Source organism: Homo sapiens, chromosome 11 (genome assembly GCF_000001405.40).
Source record: "Homo sapiens chromosome 11, GRCh38.p14 Primary Assembly".
Classification (NCBI taxonomy): domain Eukaryota; kingdom Metazoa; phylum Chordata; class Mammalia; order Primates; family Hominidae; genus Homo; species Homo sapiens.
In genome coordinates, this window is record NC_000011.10 from 49,554,155 (window position 1) to 49,576,924 (window position 22,770).

Sequence of the window (22,770 nt, forward strand, 5' to 3'; positions counted from 1 at the left end):
TCTTTTGTTATATATGACCCTTCCTAGTAATCCAACACCGTTATTCAAATTCTTGCCTATACATCACATTGTACTGGAACAAAGAGAGTCATATTGTGAGGAAATGTGAGGGAAAAAAGGACCACGATTTGCTGAGACTTTATAGCACTTTTGATTTCCAGAGTGACTTTATGTATAACAAAGAAAGTTAGGTATTTTTTACATTACCTTTTTGATTTTCCCATTTCCAGATAAGGAAAGGAGGTTCCAAGGTTCAGCAGCTTGTCCAAGTCCCCTATTCAAGAAAGAGCCAAAATTCAGTTTCCAAATGCAATCAGTTAGGACTGAAATCCAGTGTACATTCTGCCTCACCCTTGGATGAGTGCTCTGTGTCTTCACCTGGGATATAAAGGAAGTCCTTTGCCCCTTGTGATGAGACAGTTACACATACACACGCACACACTATATTTTGTGCACCCAGAGTGAAGATGAATATCTCTGTGTTTGCCATACATGTGCCAAGAGTCTGCTTGGACAGAGGACTTCATCTTGGAAAACACTGTCTAAAGGAGTTGCAGTTCCAAAGCACTAAAAGACTAAATACTTTTCTTACTGTATTTTTTACCAAGTATCATAACAAAAATTAATTCACAGGGCTATATTTATAGGTCTGTCCTCCCTGAAGAATAGAGAGATGAATAAACATAGATTCATAAATAACAACTTCTTTGAATTAAATTTCCATGGTTTGTCTAGATCTTAAATTGAAGTTTTATATAAGAGTGCGTAATATAAAAAAGGTTCCTATTTTTGCTATAAAATCCCTGCTGAAGACACTGAGTTTTTAGGGACCATGTATATAAGGGTCTATATAATAGTACTAGTATTTAGTAACAGCAGCAAGAATAAAATTCTTTCTATGAACAGACTAAATTTCTTATATTAGATAATGATGTAACTAAATATTTTCTGGTAAAGCACTTAGTCAATATGATAGGAGTATTTGTCATTTCCTTTTTCTGCATGGCTTTCATTTTCCATTCTTAATAACATATTTAATTGACTCATTCACATCTAGAAAGTTGCCAGATTAAATTTAGTAAATAAAATTAGATAAAATTACCTTCATTTGGGAGTTGAACAAGCTGAGCTACAGTTAAGGTTTGTCAAGCTCTACTTCATCTACCCCACTGTCTTTTCAGTTTCTAAAGCACAGCAAATGTTGTTCTGCCTCAGAGTTCCATATATTGTTCCCTCTGCCTGTAAACCCCCTTAATTTTCTTCCCACTCTTTGATCAGCCACCCCTTGTTGATCACATCTCTTAACTCAGACAGAAACATAGACATATGTCACATTTTTTTGCATAATAATACACTTTTTTAGGTCTTGATTTAATATTTGTCTTAGAGTTATTTTTAATGTTCAATTAAAACAAGATACCAGGCCCCCTCCTCATGCCCTGCTATTCTTTATAACTGTACCTTGTTCTTCATTTTATTTCCCATAAATTGTGACACATCAGTTAGTTTATTCATGTGTTCCTTACTTTAAGCCTCACAGGACAGGAGACGAATTCTATTTCATCCATCATTTTATCCCCAACACCTAGCCATTCCTGGTACATGATAGTTTAATAAATATTTAATAAATGGTATGAATGAATAAATTTAAACACATATGCACTCACACACATATATGTAATAACTTTAAGTTTTCTAAGGCCAAGTAAGTATATGTTAATATTTTGTGTATCATTCTATTATAGTGTTTTGTACAGTAACTGGCAAAAAAATATAGCAATAATAAATGTTTAACGAGTGTTCATTAAATTGATAAAAACATTCAAAAATTTTTAAGCCACTTATAACCTTTTATTTAATGAGCTCAGATAACCACATACTTGCAAAACATTTAGAATTTATATAACCCCCTTGAAGTCTAGAACATGAGCTAGCTAAGTCTGAGAATCACAAATGCAAAAACACAATTTAAGAAGTAGGTAAGTGTGCCCATATTTGGAAAAGGTGCTGTCACTCAGTAGTCTTTCAGACCTCCTGCAAACATTCACATGATTTACCATCAGTGTTGCCAACTTGTACAATGAAGGGCAGCATATAACAGGTGTACCTCTATTTTCATAAATATTCATTTAAATATTCCAAATATTTATTGAGAGGACTTAGGCTTTTACTCAGTGAAATCAGAAGGTACTGGAGAGATTTGATTTAAGATAAATTCTTTAAAAGATCACTCTGGATGCTGTGCTGAATGTAGCCTGTACTAGTTTGGAATTTATTCCTGTGAGGCAGGTAAAAGATGATAGTTGATGGATTCAACAGGTTCTCTGTGAAGGTGGTTAGAAGTGGTAAGATTCTAGGATATATTTGAAAGGCAGAGCTAACAGGATTTCATGACAAATTCTCACATATAAGGACAGAAATGAATGGAGATTTCAAGTTTTAAGCTTGATCAATTCTGAGAATGACTGTGTTTTCCATTCTTTTTTTCTACTGTTCTACATAGGAATTAAAATATTTTGTTCATTAATAGCTCATCCTAAGGCAAAAGTTATACCCTTGAGCAATTTATAATCAGAACTTACTATTGGAATGTAAAACATTGTTTCTATATCCCTTTTAATTTTAATTTTGCCTAATTCAGCACTTTACAATTATGAGATGAAGCTATATTTTAAAATGTCACTGAGCAATTTTAAGATTATATAATCACGTTTTACTTCTCATCTGAAAATTTAACTATTGTTCAACATGGAGAATGTCCTTCACATTTTAGCCTTTAGAGCATAGGAAGTCGATATGTATTGGTAAGCAGGTATTACATTTACGGAGTGCTTTGTCATTTTTTGACATGCTTTGACATGTCTTATGTCATCCCACTCTCGTCATAACACTGGAAGACAGGAGAGAAGGAAATATGTGTAGGAAATTGAAAAGTTTAAGTGACTGAGTGGACAACATTCACTACACAACATTCACTTCTTTCTCATTCACTAATGTATTTTGATCCAGCTCCAGCTGATGGAGAAAAACTGGGAGCTTGGAGTGCTCTATGCTCACTCAAAGCTAAATGTCTCATACAAAAACCCAAATTTGACCTTATCTTTATTGTTAATGCCTCAGAAAATTGGATAAACAAATCACTGTATTCATCAGACTTAATCACATCACCAGAGTCATCTAGTCATGTCACCCTCCATTTTCTTGCGAACTCACTATTTTTTGTATTTTCTCACCTATGCCATCTTTCTATTTTCTCATCTATGCCATCTTTCTTTCTTTCTTTCTTTTTTAATTAAGGAAGCTCACTCACAGCTTTCCTGGCCTCTCTCCAAAGTACTAAAACTTGTTTTGTGAATTGCAGTCAAAGAAATACAAAAAGTAACAATGATCCCATCAGTAGACGTGAAAATGCAAGAAGAAAGATGCCATTGTAAAACTCAACAAGGTGTGGTAGATAGATCTCTTTTTCTTGTTGTTAAATCCTGAAGCTATCAAACAATAACTTACCTTATTGACAAGGGTCTGGTGGAAAATCTAATGAGCATTAGTAATGAATGCATCAGCATCAATCCCCTTGACTTTAGTGCACTCATCTTTTCATCTTTGATCCAGCTGCTGAAAGCACCTGGTTCCCAAAATTCAGCTAGGGAAATACAACGGGAATAATAATCATATTGCTGCAATGTCTTTCTTTTCTTTAAATTAAGCCATGCAAGTAATTTATACCAATCTCCTTTTCAGAGGCAGAAACGAAGTCTGTTTTTGTATTTAAAGATTACCTCAGCATAGCTGACAATCCTGGGCAGTTATGGGGGTGGTGAAGGAAGGGAAGCAAAGTCATTTGAGAAAGTAAAGACATTCAACTGCCAACGAAGAATAAATTTTAACGGATGTAGGAAGAATCGTTTGTAAGAAGTGCAGAAAATGCAAAATGGTATTGTTAATAAGTAACATCATTAGAGGCCGTTCTTTCTAACCAGTCACACCTCTGAATCATCTCGGGCTTCCCTGACTTCCTAGCTTTCTGTACCCTCCAGCAGTGACGCCCCTTCTCCCAATCATTGTCAGGGGTTTAAGTGCCATAGTCAAAAAGAACCTTATTATCTACCTGCTCCCCAGCTTCTCTCTGAGTGACACACCACCCACGCCTCCTCCGCACAGCTTTCCTCCTCCCATGGCTCCCAGAGGGAATGTGAGGAGCAGGAGAGGGAGACCAAGGCTACCCTCGCCTGAACCCCGAAACGACGAGGCTTTAAGACCCTTATTCACCCACTGAGTCTATGCCCTGGCCGTTCTGCCAACCCCCGCCGCGCGCTGCAGGAGTATAAGCCAGCCCTGCTCTGCGCTTCCAGCTGCGTCTGCCCAAGCGCGGCACGTGCTCCCGGCACTGGCGCGAGAGAGCGAGCGCCACCGCCGCGGGCCCCGCAGCCGTTCTGCCTGCTGTCACCGCTGCCTCCATCGCCGACACTAGCGCTCCAGCTGCAGCCAAGGCCGCTACGAAAGCGCAGGAAGCCCTCGAGGAGCGGCTGCCTGGGGGCGCAAGGCTCAGGGCGCACACCTGGTAAGCGCAGCGCCTTTTTCTTTCTCTTGTCTGTAGTTACCACGAATATAGGATACCACTGGAGCCCCTCCCCCAGTGCAGGGATGGAGAGCGATCAAGCAAAGGGCGGCAGCTGGGGCTAAAAAGACCCAGGAGGGCAAGTGGTGAGCAGGTGGAGGGCTGGTAGAGCCAGGAACGCTACGAGGTCCTGCAAGTTTAGAAAAGTCACCCTGCAAGGACATGTGCTGTGTGAATCAGACATAAATTTAAGTCAGGAGCCTGGGCTACCGCGGTATCGCTCCAATGGGAGGTTTATGAAGATCATTTTGCTTTTATTTGCATAAGTGAGGGATTTAAGTGGGCTTGTTTCCATAGAAAACGAACTAAAAAAAAAAAACTCAGAGGTGGAAAAAATAAAGATCCGAGCCAAAGGATACGTTTGGATCTTTCTCTCTCTGTGTGTGTCTCTCTCTCTTCCTCTGTGTGTGTGTGTGTGTGTGTGTGTGTGTGTGTGTGTGTGTGTCATGCCAATACATGTGCACGAAAGGCAAGGATTTAGGAAGGGAGATGGGCTCCTCTATCTTTGAGCCCATTAGGTGTTTGGGGGAGCTAATAAGAGCAGTTGCTGGTGTTTCACCCCAAAAAGAGGCAGCAAAGAAGGGACCCGATTGGGTGTAAATTTCAGTGTTCCATTTCTAAAAGGACTATAGTACTAGGAGGGAGAGGTTTTCTGGAACTGTGGGTCATGTAAAGATGGTACACCTGCAACTCTGGACCTATAAACTCAAGTTCATATACTCCCAGTGGAGCTAGGAAGACATGTTTACTCTTGGTTCCTTTATGGAACTTTGGCAAAAATAATCTCTCTCTCTCTCTCTCTCACACACACACACACACACACACACACACACACACACACAGAGAGAGAGAGAGAGAGAGAGAGAGAGAATATGAAAGAAATGAATACAGGAAAGAGAAGGGAGCTGAATATGACTGAATAGGCTGAGTGGGGTAGTAGAAGGAACAAGAACAGGGTGATCGGGTTTGGCATCACTGCGTTCATTCATTTCTACCCTAGGTAGTTCCTGGGCAGATCTCTAGAGAAACATGACCTTGAACAAGCCCCTTAACCTTCATGTACTCAGTTTCTCTATTGAACAATGTAGAGGATCTTCTGCATTTGGGGACACGAAGGTCCCATGCCGTAGTGTCTATGTATGTGTTTCAAGATCTGCATACTAAGAAGTAAGAACACTCATAAAATATGGATAAAGGAAGCTTCAGGGGATTCTTCCTCAAAGTACTGAAGGCAGTTGGCAAGATCCTGACTGTGCTGTTGGGATAATGCATGCTGAGAGGTCTGTGGAAATGAGTGAGGAAAATCCAACCTCCAGCCTGTAGTGCAGTGAACTTGGAGTTCTGAGAGCTGTTTAGAAATGTTCAGATCCAGAGAGCCTAAAGTCATATGCTATTTTTTTAGTGTTTTATTATTTATTTATTTTTATTATACTTTAAGTTCTAGGGTACAAACCTGCACGTTGTGAACAAGTCATATGCTATTTTTAAGGTTAGCATTGACGAAGAAGGTTTGGTGGCAAGGAAAATAAGTGCCAATCCAGTTTAAAGATTAGGTAGTCAGGGCAGCAAGAAGAAGGTTTTAGAGTAAAACATAAATGCAATGTAATCTGGGCAGAGGGGTTAGGAAGAAGAAGATCATGGATATTCCTCCTGAGACAAGGATGTCTACACTCCTAGGAGACAACTGGGACCTACCATGTCCTTGACACTCTTTCCACCTGTCTGAGGAAGGCACAGGTGCCCTTTCTCACTTAATACAGGTTTATTCTTAGAATTTAGGGATTTGTATCCCAGGTGCTGAGATATGACGGTAAATATGTGAAAACTAAGACCTGGGAGTGCCTCCAACTTCCTTGCCATGTGAGCATCTGTTTGCAGAGCTGGTCTACCCATCCAGATTCACCCAGAAGTCTATGTTCCTAAAGGAACTCACTGTGCCACTTGGTGGCACCAAAAAGTTGCGCAAAGAACTGTGTTCTCTATAAATACAAACTACCACCCCTCCCTCCTCCGCTCTCTCCCCTTCCCCCCATCCCCCCTTTCTCAGTAGCGGGGAGATTGCTGCACACGCCGCCCTCAGCTCGGCTGTTCTGAGCACGCTGAGCGGAGGGGATGAGCTTGAGATCATCTTGGGGGGGAAGCCGGGGACTGGAGAGGCCGGCTCTGCCCTGCTGATCCCCGTGGCCCAACTTTTCGGGGGGCTAGCTAGACCGAGTCTCACTGCTTGCTGCGCAGCCAACAGGGGGGTAAGCTTGCTAAGTGTCTGTGTGCCCAAGTGTCCCCTGGCCAGAGAAGGATTTAGGATCTATAGGCTTGCTGAGTAGCTCAACAGTTTGGTTTGGGGGAGGGGGACGCGGGTGGAGCAGGGGTGGCCAAAGCCGACAAGATTCAAGTCTGTTCCATTTGCGAACAGCCTTAATTAAACCTGTTGGGGAAAAAGGCGCGAGCAACGGGGTGAAGGAGGGAAGAGCTGCAAGGGTTGAAAAGGAGATTCTGCATGCCTTCGCATCCGAGTTCCCGCTCTCTAAGGCCAGGTGCGCGTGGTTTCGAATGCAGAGTGTGCTCCCGCAAACCACCCGAGGGCTCGGAATTGTGAGAAGCAAAGGTGGAGAGGAAAAGAGGACGGAGAATTGCTTTTCAATAGATCGGTTAGGGGCCGCTTCGTGGCGCCTGCTGCAGGAAGAGGGGGGACAGCGGGTGGTGCTGAAAGCACATCTCTTTCACTCAGGCTATATTGCCTCTCTTTGAACACCAGCCTGAGCCCTCCCGCTCTTTCCTCTTCCATGGATTTATCTTTCCCCTCGAACACAAAGCCTGCTAGTTATCCCACGGCGGAAGCATGAGCGGCATGCCAAGGAGGAAGCCCTGGCTACAGCGACTTAGGGAAGAAAACCCAGGGCAGGCCCATGAGTGCCGAGGCTGGCCGGTGGCCCGAGCCCAACGTGCATTAGGACCTCTCCAGGGAAGTGACAGGTCCACCTGGAGGGCTCTTTCACCTGGTACTCGAATTTACAGCTGCCCTCATTTCCTTTCAGAGGAGTTGCTGTGTGGAAAGGAAATTTAGGAGAGGATAACAAGCGCTTGTGCTTATTTAGACACAATCTTGATGCTGCCTTAGCTGGACTGTAACGTCGAGTAACCAGGGAGATAGGGTCTCCAATACTTTACTTTTTCAATAGGAAATTGATACAGACCAGTGAGAAGGCAGCTTCTCCTTTTCACCTTCTTCTCCATTCGCTACATGGTATTTTATTGTTCAGAGTTTCTCTGGACAAAGCTAGAGCTAATTTCTGTCTCTAATCCTGGGCACTGGCCGTTTGAAGCAGCCAAAGGTGCATTGACCAGGACTACGTGCAGCCCTTCCTCCAGTGGGACATAAGCAGGGGTTTTCTGTGGACGTCTTAGTTGCATGACATTCTACTGTCAGCTGTGGAGTGTTCAGGTATGCTACCTCTTGTTAGGTGTGCTTTTTGCTGTTTTCTTTATGGAGTGCAGGGAGTTTCCTCCTTTAATTTCTCAGTTACCTCAATGTAATCACACATGTAAGAATCAATTGTGGCTATTTCTGTCCTTTATGCATGTTTATTTCCATTTAAACATGCCATTGGTTTAGGACTTGAAAATACTGCGTCCTGAACTCATTGGGTTAGTAGTGTGCGTCCCATCAAATTTCCAGCCTTCTCCCCGTGAAATCTTGTCAGCACTCTGGACAGATCTTTCAAGTTTCTTATGAGAAAAATGTACATAGCACTTCCTAAATAACAGCTTCTCTTAAGAGAAAAAGCTTTCCCTACTCATTTACACTCCACATGACAAAATATACAATCTAGATATTTTAATTGCACCCCCTAGAGGTTTGTGCTATCACACGGGAATGTTTTGGTTGCGGGCTACACACTCACAAAAAGCCCAAACTCTTCAATGTTCACTTATGAAAGGATATGTCGAGATTATTTGGGAGAGGGAGTTGGTATTTGAATAATCCAAGTTCCTCACTTTACTTCCATAGGTAGACACAGGCCTTTACTATCACTTTATAGTATACCTTATGGACATGATGACAAACACCCAGGGGGAAATTGAAAAATTCACTCATATCTATTATATCCAACCAGCACAAACTATCCGGACTTTGGGAATACTTGATTAACTACATACCATTTTTAATTTTGGCTCTGATTATTAACATTGTTGTGTTTCATGTTAAAATGACTTATCTCATCAAAGGTGCTCACTTTTGTGACTAAAGCATTTTAATAATTCTGCTTTTCTTATTTCTTTCCAAAACCCATTTAATATTTTATAGGAGTCTTACTATATTGTCTTTTACAGAATGATAATTTTGGTTAGAGAAACTAAATTAAGTGTCAATAAAAGGTAGGTGGTACTACAAGTAGAAAATGTGAGATGAGGTTGATCATTAAAAATATTGTATTTATTTGTATACCAATTTTATCCCAGGTTTTCTATCCTCATGGGATGAAGACAGAGCTATAACCAAATATTTTTTTCTTATATATTCTTATTGTATTATGTATATGTACATGTGAGGTACTTTTCTGTGTATCTCGATATAGATAGATAGATCATGTATAAACCAACTTTATAAAATATTAGATACTACTTTTTATATATGTTGAGATATATATATGTTATATGATAAAGCTGATTTGGCTGGTTTAGAGGTTGGATATATTGAAGATGTATTATTACAAAGCAGGAAGATTCTGCAGTTTAGAAATACGTGTTATGTGTTATATTCATATTCAGAGAAATATTAATTCTAGTCATTTTAGTCAGTGAGTGAAGCTTAGGAGAACATAAGAAGACATGAGCATCAAAAGAAATATTTTTAGTGCAGGATGTATTTATATAACCCAAGAAAAGAAACTTCAATTTTCACTTTTGAATTTTCAATTATTTGTAAATCAGATAATATCTTGATATTCCTTTATCTTAGTTGTTTAAAATGTGTTTCTAAAAGACATTAAAGCATAGGCTTGCTTTCATTTCCTTTAAATTCATAGGAGATGAAAATCTATATTTTACCTTTCTGAATCATCTTTAAACTGTATATAACTTTTGTCAGAAGGGCCATCAGGCAAACGTCCTGGTGCAGACTCATCCCTGCTCTAATAACTACTATTTATTAAGCACATCAGGCATCATGCTAAGCAGTAGGTATGTTATTTTATTTAATTTTCATATCAACAATACAAGACATTATTTGTTTTTCCTTTTCAGTTATAAAAACTAAGTTTTTTATTCTACTGTCAAAGAACAGGGCATAGTTTATGCAGTGTTCACTGTGGGTCACTTTATTTTTATTTGTGCAATTAATTCATTATACTTATTCAATAACATGTACTGCTATAACCCATCCCCTATTTTGAAAATAAGGAAACATATATTTCATTCATATATATGTGTGTGTGTGTGTGTGTGTGTGTGTGTGTGTATATATCTTTTACCATATATGTAAAAGACAAAAATAATGGAAATACATATATATACATATGCAAAAGAGAGAGATTTGATTTGTTTGGCACTAAAATTTACCCGGTTTCCTTTGTATTGAGCTGCCTTACTCTGTGGTGTGGCTAAACACTAAACATTATGGGATTATTTTATTGTGGTTTCCAGTGAGTTGTGGTATGATTGGAAGTACAAGCTCTGGCTTCAAATTGCCTGGGTTTGAATCTCAGCTTTGTGGCTTACTACTTGTGTGACCTTAGGCAAGTTACTTAAATTTATGTACCTCAGTTTCACTATTTTCAAATTGGGGGATGGGTTATAGCAGTACATGGCATGGAGTGAATATGATGAATTAATTGCACAAATTAAAAAAAAACAATAGGTGCAGAAAACCACCATGGCACACATAGACATATGTAACAAACCTGCACATTCTGCACATGTATCCTGTTGTTTTTTAGAAGACATAAAGAGAAAAATAAATTAAAAAAATAAAGTATCTGACCCATAGTGAACAGAGCATAAACTCTCAATCCTACCCAGGCCTTTGGATGTCGAGTTTTCTGTGTTTCCTATGGTATTACATTTAATGTTTAACTGCCCTGTGGATTGTGTCTTATTTTTATTTTATGACTTTAATGATAAAACATAATACTAACATAGATTAAATAACTTGTCCAATGTCCCACAGTACAAACAAAGGTGACAAAGCAGGTATTTAAATCTAGGATCATCTGATTTCCAAACTTTTATGATACTGACCTACAGCTTACACACATATATCAATTTTTTTGAATTCTACTAATTTTGAGTCAGCAGCCCTTCCTCTACAAGGGAATATGCAAATATCTATTTTTCTCATATATTCAAGAATATTTAAAAATAAACATGCAAATGCTTGAAGATAATCAGAAATCAAAATAATACATAATTGCTATCTCAAATATCTCCTTTTTTAGTCAGACTGTAGAAGAAGTGTAAAAGAAAGACTTAGATGCAAAATATATATTTTATGTATATATGATTCTATTGGTCTTGCAAATATGTCAGATTCAAGAAAAATTCTCTAATGATTAGTTGTTCACAATAATCCTGGTTCAGGCCATGGGTTTTAAAATTTTGAGTATAAATGTTCTGAGGAAAATGAAAACTTGTAATCACAGTGATAATAGTGAGCACTTTAATAATGCAACCTTCTTACATTCATTATATTTTACAGAAGAATAATCAAAAATTTTTTTAAAAAACAATTTGTCTAAATGCATAGTAATGTAGAATTATTCAAAGACATAGAAGTAAATAATACGCTTATATCATTTGTTTAAAAATAAATAAAATTATGAAAAATCAACATGTAAATTACTTTATAAAGTTATCGTTATTGTTGTAGTCTTGTTAAAATTACAATAAACTTTGCATTTCCTATCAAAAACAGCCTTTGATTTGGGAAGTATATCGTAGGATACTCTCCTCACATTCATTTTTTGTAATTTGTGATACTTAGAACTATGCGTATTTAATGTAAGGTAATATCAACCTTGACTCTTACAGCTTAAATTTGTCTTTCTCAAATTGAAATTTCTACCTTTTCAACAAGATAATACAGACAAATAACTATGTAAACATTGAGTAGGGCAAGCCTATTTCAACCGTCTCTCCTTAGCATTATTTGGAAGTTTCAGGTAGAGAATTTGTAAGACTGATGGGTCCAGATGATTGGCTCTTAGGTATGCTCTTCTTTCGTGATTATGTCAACCTTGCCAGGATTAACTTTCATGTAAATTAGTGTTTTTCAACTGGAAGCGACTTTGACATACAGGCGACATTTGCTAATATCTGAGGACATATTCGTTTATCAGAGCTGGGAGGGGATGGCATTGTCGTCTAGTGAACAGAAGCCAGGGGTGCTGCTAAACAACCAACAGTGCGCAGACAACATCCGCCCACAACAAAAGATTATCCACTCCAAAATGTCAATAGTGCTCAGGTTGAGAAACCCTTATCTAAATGATGCTAGGAAACAGAGTTTCCTATATTTACTTGATTTGTTTGTATGCTTTCTGATGAATTTTTGTACATTACATAAGAATTTAATGGAAAGCAGAATCTCCAAAATGCTTTGCAATCAATGCATGAGGTTTGAATAACCAATTCACTTGTTTTTTGTGGGGAGACCTCATCATTTGTTTATTAAGTATGGGCTTTGGAGCCAAATATAGTTGGATTCATGTCCTGGTTCTGCCATTTGTTATAGGTTTGATACTTTGGAGAAGATTATTGACTTCTAAACTTCGATTTCTAGAGGTAGTAAGATAGGTAGTAATTATATCTACCTTACAGGGTTATTGTGAGTCTTACATTAAATAATTATTATACATTATTTAACAGAAAGAAGGCACTTTTTAAATATTATGTATTAATAAGTAAGTGGAGATCAAGTTATAGAAATGTAAAACCACAGTCTCAAGCATTTAATGATAGGTAATGTAATATATAAATAATGCTTTACAGTCTTCAGAGGTATACCCTTAATAACAAGAAATCAGCTGAAGGCTACAGGATGGGTAAAGGTCTAAAATCCCTGCTTTATAATTAAACTGAGACTAGTTAACAGTGGATTGCATCATGTTTATTGCTTTGCTGTAGAAGGCTGTTCCAGGTCTTCATAGACTGCTAAACCACTTGTTTCAATGATTTACAATGATTTAGTGAGCTCTATTGAACTGCCAGAACTTTTTAATTAATGGATAAAATTACAGATTTCATCTTTGTACAATAGTGTTTTATGGGCCTTTTTTTGTTGAGGGGGTTTCAGTTAAAATATGGCCTATACTTTGTGGGGCTAAACAGTGGGGATGCTGCATTTTCTTGTTTACAAGGTCACAAATGTGTGATTGAGATAGTAATGACAATGGAGCTTTCCTCAGACTACAGGGTTCTCTGTATCATTGCACCTCAGACTGTCTCTTATCTATGGTATGCACTTGTTTTCAGAAAAATATATCAGATGCGTTGATGGCATATGCAATATTGACACCCCTGACTGTTTGTGATGAGGCCACTGATCAGGCAGAAGAAATCATTTTACTGTTTATGTCCTGAGCTGTGTGATTTGCTTGTGTGGAGATTAAGTTATATAAGAGACATCTGTGCCAGAAAGATGGTCAGTATTTTAGAGGATTGTTGAAAATAAAGGACAATGTGAGCTGTGAATCTGACTATAGTGTAGATTGCAATTTATGGCAAAGTTTATCCATTAATATCTCTTTTTCATATTCATTTAGGATATAATATGAGAACGTGTGGTTACCTGATGTGAAATACTTTTGTATGTATTTAAAATATGTATATTGTTTTCTATAATGTGCTAGTAATTAATTTACTATGCTAAGGACCCAGAAATATAACACTGAGTAAAACATACTTCTGAAAATAGATACTTGAACTAATATACTATATAATCAAACTATTAATACATTTACCCACTTTTTAGTGAATTAAATGTCACCATATTATTAGAGTGTAGATCATAACATTTTAAAAGCTTTTTTATCATTACAAGAATTAATGCCTCCCCATTATCTATAGGATAATCCTGCCCCTTTATTTCTACTGACATATTATCCCCACCATCTAAAAGCTATAACCTAAAGCAAATAATTTATTTTACTTGACACTTTGTTTCCTAATATAAGAAATTGATGTTCTTAGACATTTCTAGAAGTATTATTTTTAGGTAGACGTGAGATCAAGAATGAAAAAGGGCTCTTTACGCTGAAAATAAAGTATTATGGTATTTTTCTTCATCTTTTCTTTTACTAGACACTTGTTAAAATAATGAATGGATCTTGTGGTGACGTTGCACAGGAGAAATCTCACCACAAGGAGAAATGGCCTTACTCAGGAACTTATATAGAAGCAAGAGAGAGTAGATCCTCACAGAAAGAATATTGGATAGTTCTCAGAATTGATGATGTTAATGAGACAGATCTTGGAGTGAAGTTGATATCATCTTTTATATTCTATATTCATCAATTGTAAACTATGAGAAACATTTATGCCAGAAATATCATCTTTAAATAATTGTGCTACAAAGATACTTTCAAAAGCAAGCAAAATGCAACATTGTTTACGATATTAAGACAAATCTATAAATAACCTTAATATCTAACAATAAGGAATAATTAAATATTGGTACACACATATAATTGAATGCCATGCAACTGATAAAATTAAATAAATGTTCTAAATGTGACTCTTGGCTCTGCTACTACCCACTTGCTTGGGAATCTGGGCCAAGCCTCTGTATCTCTCTGAGCCTCAGTTCTTTTCTCTGTAAAATGTGCATACATAACTTATTTTACAGTTTGTATGACAACTAAATGTCATTTCATGTGAGATACTTAGCAAAGTGAACAACACATGATATGCCCTCTGTATATTTTAATTGTTGTTATAATTGTCCGCATCATCCAAATGAACTGATATGAAAGATATTTATATTATACAAGGAAAATAAAAATATATTATGAGAGAGATTTCATATTAAAATTTTATTTAAATAAAAAAATAAAATATTATAAGCTTAGAAAATTGTATAAGAGCTGATACCAAGTTGTAAACTATGATTAAAATTGTGTTTTGAGTGACATTTTGTTGAATTCAAGTCCCAGGTCTGCTATGAATCATTTGCTTTCCATGGATCTCAGTTAAATGGAATCATCTCCAGGGCCCTCTCTAGTTTTATGATGCTATTTTCCTTAAACATCCTACAATATTAGCTTGGTAATGAATACTATAAGAAAGTATAAATAAAAAACTGCCATGTGAGCTTGGAGGATAGAGCAAACACTGCCAGGTGAGGGATATGGTAATAATTTAGGAAGGGACTATTTTTAAATATTAGCTCATTCAGTACTCACTAAAACTCTTTGGGGTAGGTACTGCTGTCACTCCAGTTGCCAATAAAGGCTTGAGGCTCAGAGAGGCTAAATGCCTAAGGACACACCGCCAATCAATGGCTGTGTCAGGATTCCAATTCAGGTCATTGGACTCCAAGCCCATGCTCTTAACAACTCTGCCATGAAGACCATTGGAACAACTGCATATCAGGGATCAGAAGCAGCATGTGCAAAGCCATTGGAATAAAACAGTGTATACTTGGACAAGAGCCTAACGACTAATAGGCTCCCAAGGAGGAATGGATGGAGGGAGATAAGGTCTCAAGGGAGAAAGCTGCAGAAATTTAGAAAGCATATCCCTCAGTTCCAAATTAAAAATAATAATGAATAGTAAATATGTTGTATTACTATATTTATAAATTTAGAAAACACAGATGAAGACAAGAAATAAAATCAAAAGTACTATATTTTTACTATCCAGAGAACACTCTATTAATGTCAATGTATATGTTTCCAGTCTTTATGTATGCATACATACCCATCCATAATATTTCTTGAGAAAATCAAAGCATACCATCCCTTTATTTCTGCATGATACAACATGAATACTTCACATTTTACTGCTTCTCTCTCCTCACTTCACAAAAGGAAGTTTCTATTCAAAAAATCGTTCAGTCTCCTTTGCTGATTATTCCTTACCATTGAACCTTGGAATTCCCTGGGGCACAATCTCTGGCACTAGTTTCTTTTCTCTTTTCACTTCCTCAGTGATTTAATCCAGTTTCACGGCTTACAAAAAGGACTTCTGTATACTCACACCTTCCTCATTTTATCTCCTGTTCAGACCTCTCTTCAGAATTCAGCCCCTTACATCCGCCTGCTCATTCAATGATCTCTTCTTGAGTTTCTAGTATGTGCAACTTGATATATCAAAATTGAACTTATGTTGTTTTGTTGTTTCTATCCATGTCTTTGCCGCAGCATTCTCCACCACAGCCGATGCGACTCCATCCTTTTTGTGTTCGGGCTGAAAATCTTGGCGTCCTCATTGATTTTTCTCTTTCTCCAACATCCCAAGTCAGCTCTAATAGCCAATTTGTTCACTCTACCTTCAAAATATATTCAGAATCCCAGCAGTTCTCACCACTTGTGCTTACCGTATCTCCAATCCAACCACTATCATCTCTCTCACCTAAGTTAGTGCAAATTTCCTAATTGCTCCTCATTTTCTGCCTTCGTGCCCTTATTCTTGTTAAAATTTTAGGTAGAATGTGTTCCTCCTCTGTTGGAATCCTCTCAGAAAAACGTTCTCATGAAATGTTAAAGCCAAAGCCTTTTAAAGTCCAAACAGGCTCAACATCACCACATTACCTCTTGTTCTCCATGTCTTCCTTTCTCTGCATTTTAACTTTTCTACAGCCTCAAGAGCCTGTTTGCTACTCCTCAGCACACTAAACATTAAATCTGTCTTAGGGGCTTTGTATTTGTTTTATCCTTTACCTGGAATGTTGTTTTTCTAGAGATCTGTATGACTCTGTATTCCTTTAATTCTTTAATCCTTTCAATTCTTTTAGCTATTTACTCAAATGTTATTTTTTCAGTTTATGTTCCTTTGGCCACATTACTCAAACTTTCCTATATCTCTGGCACTTTCTATACTGCTTCACTGCATTTTGTTTTTTTGCTTGTAGACACTCACCACCATGTAGCACACAATATTTTACATATTTATTTTGTTTCTTGTCTGGCAAACCCTCTTCGAGTATAGGCTCCATAATGATGTGACTTTATATCTATTTTGTCCATAACTGGATCCTTGGGGCATAGAAGGGTGTGTTATTCAACAAACATTTATAGAAAACACATGAGTGATGCTGATAGATTTGATGTATTCCTTTCAGGTCTATTTGGAATTTATACTCTATGAATTTCTTGTATTTTGATTGCACATAAGATGACTTTCTATTTAGCCTTACAATAATCTGAGTAATAGCACAGTTCTTTCGCATTCCTATGTCATATTTTTTTAAAGTATATTCCAGGTATCTAAGTTCATAGCTAATTATGAAGCATAATCTGATGAGCCATAATTTGGGGTGGATATCCAGGCAATGTAAATACACTTGTACTAGATAACCTACACACTGTACCTTCTGTGTCTCTATGAGCTGAATCATCTTTTCCCTGGAATGCTCTTTACTGTATAGTTTGAAAGGCGACTCCTGTAAGATTCTATATCTCTTGGATGTTCAAATTGTGTCTGGGTGGCCCTTCTTGTTTTCATGGACATTAGCAGTATCTTTCATTTTTTTTGGTAGGAAGGGGCTGTGAGGCAGCAAGGAATAGTTAAAACAATGTGTTATAAAGTCAACAGGCATAGACATAAATTCTAGCTCCATTATTTTCTAAGTGATCAGCTAGTTTTTAACTTATCAAAACCCATTACATCATTTGTAAAATGAAGGTAATAAAATAATACAGTTCAAACATCCCAAATTCAAAAATTAAAAATCTGAAATGCTCCAAAATTGCAGCATATTTGAGTACCCATTTGACACTCAAAGGAAATTCTTATTGGAATATTTCCAATTTCACATTTTAGGATTTGGAACGCTCAAGAAGTAAGTAAGTATAATGTAACTTTTCCAAAATCTGAAAGATTCTGAATCTGAATTTTGGTCCTAAGCATTTTGTGTAGGGATTGTTCAACCTGTACCTATATTTTAGGGTTGTTATAAGGATTCTTGGTATACATATGCCACACATACGGACACACTCAAAGACATAGCCATTGTGTCAGAAATCTTCAGTGTATAGAATGTACATGGAATATAGTATCTTCCATGGGAATCAGATACGTTTTTCTCCGAAATATATAAGCCTTGCATATGTCTTTAAAAATAAAGTACCTAAAACATTCCTTTTTGCCCTCTATGACATCATTTACTCTCACTTTATCTTCTTACTTTTTGGGTTGACTCCTTTTCATAGCTGGCTTTTCCCAAATCTGGCCCCTCAGCAGAGCTTATTTTTTAGCTGCACCTTTGCAATATTTATACTTCCTCTCCAGGCGATTTCATGCATTCTAAATATTTTATATATTGATGATCCTCAATTTGCATGTCTAAACCAAAACTCTCCCCTGAGTCCAACCTTACATATTCACTTTCCTGTTTGACATCTTTACCTGGATGCCTCCAAGGCATCTCAAATTTTGCATTTTCAAAAGAAGATCATTAATTTTCTTCTGCCCCTCACGTGTTTATGTGCTAGTCTATCCTATCTGTATTAATGCTGTCAAAATGCACTAGGCTCTCAAACTAGAAGCTAGGAGTAGACCCTGATTCCTCTCTCTACCTTACTACTCACATCTAGTCTATCAGCAAGTACAGTTGATTCAACTTGGAAAATATATCTGACTGTGACCACTTTTCTCCATATCTACTGTCACCAGTCATAGAGAAGTCACCATCATTTCTTGCTAGATTTTTACAGGTTTCTTTATAAGATTTCTTCAATTGATTATCCAGGAAAATGAGCAGCCAGAATAATCCTTTCTAAGATTGAATTGTTTCAGTCATTTGCTTAAATCTCCTCAATGGCTTTCTGTTGTAATTAACATTATTATTATTATTTTTTTTCTTGAGACGGAGTCTCACTCTCTCACCCAGGCTGGAGTGCAGTGGCACAATCTTGGCTCACTGCATCCTCCTCCTCCCAGGTTCAAGTGATTCTCCTGCCTCAGCCTCCTGAGTAGCTGGGATTATAGGCGTGCACCACAACATCCAGCTAATTTTTCTGTTTTTGGTAGAGACGGGGTTTCACCATGTTGTTCAGGCTGGTCTTGAAAGCCTGACCTCAAGTGAACTGCCCGCCTCGGCCTCCCAAAGTGCTGGGATTACAGGCGTGAGCCACCGCGCCTGGCCAACATTAAAATATTTTTATAAGAGCCTACAATGTCCTACATGGCCTGGACCTTTATTGCCTTTCCATCTTCATCTTGTATCATCATGCCTCCCATGTTCTTCATGTTGTAGACATATTTTTTATGTGACTGCCTTTTTTTCATTCTTCTGTATATTTTTCTTTTTCTTTTTTTTGAGACGGAGTCTTTCTCTGCCGCCCAGGCTGGAGTGCAGTGGCACGATCTCTGCTCACTGCAAGCTCCGCCTCTCGGGTTCACGCCATTCTCCTGCTTCAGCCTCCCGAGTAGCTGGGACTATCTTTTCTTTTTTTAACTTTAATTTTAAGTCTTTAAAATTAAAAATTCAGGGGCACATGTGCAGGTTTGTTACATAAACTTGTGTCATGGGAATTTGTTGTACGTATTATTTCATCACCCATGTATGAAATCAAGTATCCACCAGTTATTTTTCCTGATCCTCTGTCTCCTCCCACCCTCCAGTAGGCCCCAGAGTATGTCGTTCCCCACTATGTATACATGTGTTCTCATCATTCACCTCTGATTTACATGTGAGAACGTGCAGTATTTGGTTTTCTGTCCCTGTGTTAACTTGCTAAGGTTAATGGCCTCCAGCTCCATCCATGCCCATGCAGAAGACATGATCTCATTTTTTATGGCTGTATAGTATTCCATGGTGTATATGTACCACATTTTCTTTATCCAGTCTATCACTGATGGGCATTTAGGTTGATTTTATGTTTTTGCTATTGTGAGTAATGTTGCAATGAACATATGTGTGCATGTGTCTTTATAATGGAATGATTTGTATTCCTTTGGGTATATAGCCAGTAATGGGATTGCAGGGTTGAATAGAATTTCTCCAGTGGGAGTATAAATTAGTTCAATCATTGTGGAAGTCAGCGTGGTGATTCCTCAAAGACCTAAAGACAGAAATACCATTTGATCTTTATTTTTCTTTGTATTCACCATGTTTCAGCTAAAGTTACCCTTTAGAATACCAATATGTAAGGCCCACAAGTATAGGGAGCTTGTATATTTTGCTCATGCTTGAATATTCAATGCCCAGGACAGAATTATAGCATATACATACCATAAATATTTGTTAAGTGAGTTAATGAATAGATGGGGCATGTTAGGTGCTCAATGAAAGATCATAATGATACTTACCAATGTATATTATTACAGTTCTTTGATACATTAGTCTCTTTCACTGAATAGTTAATAATTTTTTGTTAAATAAGTAACAAACTTCGCATAACTTCAAAAGGCAATATCTTAGTGTTTTAATATGTATACTGTATCTCAATATGTAGAGGTTTCATAGAACAACTTAAATGAATAAAATGAATGGGATTGATATTTCAGCCACACGAGCCTGACAGGACACCAGGTCTCTCATATCACTTTGATATTCTTACATAAAAAATGAGTCGTGTTTTGTTATTTGTTCACCCGCTAACATTCTTATTTAATAAGAAATTGTGCTTTCTTTAACTTTAGATATTTCTTTTTGTCTGCAGCAGAATTCACATGACCATGAGAATAATTATTTTAGGTCTTGGGTCTAAGGAAAGTGAAAGAAAGATTTGGTAATATTCAAATGACTTGCCAATGAAAAATCTAACAGTCTTCATTTCTTCCTCTGTATCTACAATGCCAACTTTCGTACCAAAACTAGTTTTTTCTATATATTCACAAATGTCCAGTTATTCTGGAACATCTGGTTATTTGATGAAATATTAAAAAGTTTAGCTTTTGTCACTGTACATAGGAAGACTTTCTCTGTTGCCATAGGAAACAGTAGAAGGAAATAGTGAAAATGATGGTAGGAGTGATTAGATACATGATTCAAGTTACATTCATTTTGTGTCTGGACTTAACTTTTTGTAGATTTGATGACCTTTGAAACCATTAGTATTCTTGTAAAAGTGCGATATTTACATACATTCCTGAAGAAACATCACCTGTTTTTGAAAGTCGGTGCTTAGAAAGTTAGTCACTTTAAAATAATTTGAGATCCTTGGCTGGCAGAGTTGATAACAAAATAAGTCTCTTACACAATTCCCCTAAGTGATCAAATCACTAATTTGTCCGTTCTCTTTTACAAATTATGCTAGAATTTGCCATGGAAAATTTGGGACAACATTTCTTTCTTCCCAGGAATTTAAATTGAAATAGATGATGACATTCATAGCTATACTAAATTTCTACCTGGCAGAATAGTTCCAAACATACATCCTTTTAGCCTTTGAGCCTTAGTGATGTGGAATTTTTTTCTGGATCAGGGCTAGAGGACTGATTACTGTGAATTGTATTGCAAGACTCTGTACAGTTTATTTAACATGAAACACCCACCTTTCTTCATTTGTTTTTGTTATGTCATCCACATTAATTAGACAATACTTATTTATTCCTGAGAAGATTATTCAACTTGCTTGACATTGTATTTGGAGAGAGGATATGTGGGGTATTTTTGAAAAGATAATTTTATTTTTGTAATTGCATAATTAATTACATGCTCAAGGCTAAAGATTTCAAAAGGAAAGCCTAATGAAAATTTAACAACAGTTATCCACACTTTCATTACCAAGAGATCACCAATGTTTAATATTCTGGGGTGCATACTTCTTGAAGTTTTCTGTTCATGGCGTAGTTTTGCTTCTAGGATGCTCTGTCATCTCTGCCTGAGAGTACAATACAGTTCTGCCCGCCACACACAAGATTTGGTTTTATGTAGTGCAGGTGAACAAAAAAATACTATTAATCTAAGCAAGGCAGGGTCAAGAAGCTACATCAGCTGCTTCATCAAATCACAAAGGAAGCAGACAAAGGAAAGTCAGAAACGTTTTTGAATTATTTTTTCTTTGTTATCTGCATCATCAAAATGTTTTCTCTGCTATAATGGATTATAGAACTTCCCCAAACTAGTTGCATTTATGTTTGTTAAAGACCCATGTTATTTTTTTTTTCAGGTTTAGAAGATCATGACCACATGGATCATCTAACTAAATGGTACATGGGGACACAATGGTCCTTTAGAGAATACATCTGAATTGCTGGCTAATTTCTTGATTTGCCACTCAACGCAGGACATCGCTTGTTCGTAGCTATCAGAACCCTCCTGAATTTTCCCCACCATGCTATCTTTATTAGCTGGAACTCCTGTCCTAAAACGGTCCTTCTGTTGATCCTGTCAGTCTTACTTTTGAAAGAAGATGTCCGTGGGAGTGCACAGTCCAGTGAGAGGAGGGTGGTGGCTCACATGCTGGGTGACATCATTATTGGAGCTCTCTTTTCTGTTCATCACCAGCCTACTGTGGACGAAGTTCATGAGAGGAAGTGTGGGGCAGTCCGTGAACAGTATGGCATTCAGAGAGTGGAGGCCATGCTGCATACCCTGGAAAGGATCAATTCAGACCCCACACTCTTGCCCAACATCACACTGGGCTGTGAGATAAGGGATTCCTGCTGGCATTCGGCTGTGGCCCTAGAGCAGAGCATTGAGTTCATAAGAGATTCCCTCATTTCTTCGGAAGAGGAAGAGGGCTTGGTGTGCTCTGTGGATGGCTCCTCCTCTTCCTTCTGCTCCAAGAAGCCCATAGTAGGGGTCATTGGGCCTGGTTCCAGTTCTGTAGCCATTCAGGTCCAGAATTTGCTCCAGCTTTTCAACATACCTCAGATTGCTTACTCAGCAACCATCATGGATCTGAGTGACAAGACTCTGTTCAAATATTTCATGAGGGTTGTGCCTTCAGATGCTCAGCAGGCAAGGTCCATGGTGGACATAGTGAAGAGGTACAACTGGACCTATGTATCAGCCGTACACACAGAAGGTGAGTTTCCCTTGCATA

General features: G+C 37.6%; 1 pseudogene across 1 annotated transcript in view; it reads left to right on the forward strand.

Moving 5' to 3' along the window:
* The first annotated feature begins 4,373 nt into the window (after positions 1-4,373).
* The window catches only part of GRM5P1 (GRM5 pseudogene 1), a 251,892-nt pseudogene continuing 233,495 nt past the window's right edge, over positions 4,374-22,770 (forward strand). The window contains exons 1-2 of the transcript NR_027044.1: positions 4,374-4,561; positions 21,892-22,752. The product of NR_027044.1 is annotated as a GRM5 pseudogene 1 (transcript). The remainder of the gene's footprint in view (positions 4,562-21,891; positions 22,753-22,770) is intronic.